Source organism: Homo sapiens, chromosome 2, assembly GCF_000001405.40.
Source record: "Homo sapiens chromosome 2, GRCh38.p14 Primary Assembly".
In the NCBI taxonomy this organism is placed as follows: Eukaryota; Metazoa; Chordata; class Mammalia; order Primates; family Hominidae; genus Homo; species Homo sapiens.
The window spans coordinates 12,856,572-12,858,551 of record NC_000002.12 but is presented as its reverse complement, the minus strand read 5'-3'; the positions used below and the strand labels follow the sequence as shown (position 1 = coordinate 12,858,551).

General features: G+C 40.0%; 1 annotated feature.

Annotated features, from left to right (window-relative positions):
* Positions 1,384 to 1,547: a transcriptional cis regulatory region, noted in NCBI's record as "silencer 9 or peak_14494 region targeted for CRISPR/Cas9 genome editing". NCBI's record gives its function as "negatively regulates TRIB2 gene expression in K562 erythroleukemia cells {active_cell/tissue: K562}" and the evidence as "EXISTENCE:mutant phenotype evidence [ECO:0000015][PMID:32103011]".

Here is a 1,980-nt window from a genome sequence, read left to right as displayed (position 1 = left end):
AAAGTGGATCATAACTTTCTATGGTCCTCCAATAAAACCAACACTTCCTTTTTCTGTGGTTTTAAGACATGTCATGATTAGACTTCTTGCTCACCTCTTTAGCTTACTAACTGCCCTCCACCATATCACCTTGTTTTACATTTTTATTCTTCAAACATATTTAATTCTTCCACAACTCTGGAAATTTGTCTTTGCTTCTCCTTCTGCTTGGAGAGATCATCCTCAGATGTCCCCAGAAATTACCTCCTTTCTATTAGTCAGGTCTCAATATCACTTCCTGAGAGTGACCTTTGCCAGATATCCTCAGGTTGTTACACTGCCCCTGGCCACTTCTTATCACATTACCTAATTTCATTTTCTTCACTTGCCTATTTACTTGTTTATTGTTAGGTACTTCCACTGGAATATATGCCCATTCTTGTTCAGTTTAGTGACCTGATCCCTGGAGCAGTGCCAGACACATGCTACATATACATCAAACATGCTTGAACAGTTTATGGATGGTCTGAGTCAAGGAAGAAGGCCCTGATGCTAGGCTGGGGAGGCAGGATGACGTTTTATAAGGCCATTTTTGAACCTGGGTATAATATGTTGAAAAAAAGATCTAAAGGCACCAGGAAGCAGGTGGAAGAGTGATTAGTGGGGCAAAACCTGGAGAGAGCCCGAATGCAGAGTTGGGATTGCAGGCAACAGGGGCAATGGCAGTGGGAAGGATGGGCCTTGGCATTTTTTTTAAACCATATTTTATGGAAATATTTCTATATGTTTGTGCCTGAGTATCCCTGGCAGGAATGCAAATAAATATCTACTTTCCATTTTGAATATGACAGGGTTCATGCAATTCTATTTCTAGCCAATTCTGGCTTCTTCAAAAGAGAATGGCTATGCAGACATTGTCATAAACATGGAAGGGACTTTGTCACAAAGAGTAGGCACCTTTATCCCTTTGTTTTAAAACATATGTCCCCATAATTCTCATGCATTTGATACATATTCTGTTTGCATATTTTGAATTCCCAGAAAAATTTGTTATGTCTCTTCACTATGTACTGAGTCATAAATAGTGTACTTCTATAAACACATCAGCAAGATAGAAAAAAAAGTATGAATCGTGCTCCCAATGCCTTGGCCCTGCCACTCAGTCCTCTTAGTTTCCTATGTCTCCTTAAGAGAGGCAACAGAGAAATAAAGGGAGAAAGAGAAGCGAGAGAGAAAGAGAGAGAAATTGAGAGAGAGAAAGAGGCAGGGGAAAGAAAGAGGTTGGTGTTAATTTTGATTCTCTCTCTGGAGTGGTTGTTACCCTGTAGACAAGAATTTTATCCTGGCATGGCATTTAAAACAGGAAGTTTAAGCTACATAGCTGTGGTTTTTTGGCCTAGAATTGGGCCAACCTTTCCTTCCTTTTAGTGACTCAGATCATATACTTTTTAGAGCTAGAAAGAAACCCACTTCAGCCTCAGTTACCTGATCTGAATAAGGAAGTGGTTGAACCAGATAAGGTTTAAGAAACCCAGATCATAAAAGCCTGTGATTCTAAGCATCTGCAAGCACACGTGCACACACACACACACACACACACACAATCAGCAAGGTTCTGCTTGGAAAGCCTTGTGCATGGTACACACTCAATAAACATTTGTTTATTTGATGTTGTTTGATCTTATCTAATACAGCATCATCTGCTTTCCATTTCCAAAAAGGATGTGGATTGTTCAGCTCCTTATCCTTGCTAATTAATTCAATTCCTTCTTTTCATGGACAAAATGCTATGCGTGCACAGAGGAGGGAGGTACGAGTTTAGTAGGGACAGCTAAAAAGGAAGCTCCACAGAAGAGGTGATATTTCAGTCCTGAGGCATAAGTAGAAGTTTGACAAACAAAAAGAGATGAGGAAAGGCATCTGAGGACAAGAGAACAATCTAGTACAAAAACTTGAGGTATATGGGTCTGGTATATTAGGGAATCCTGAAATGTGGGGTGA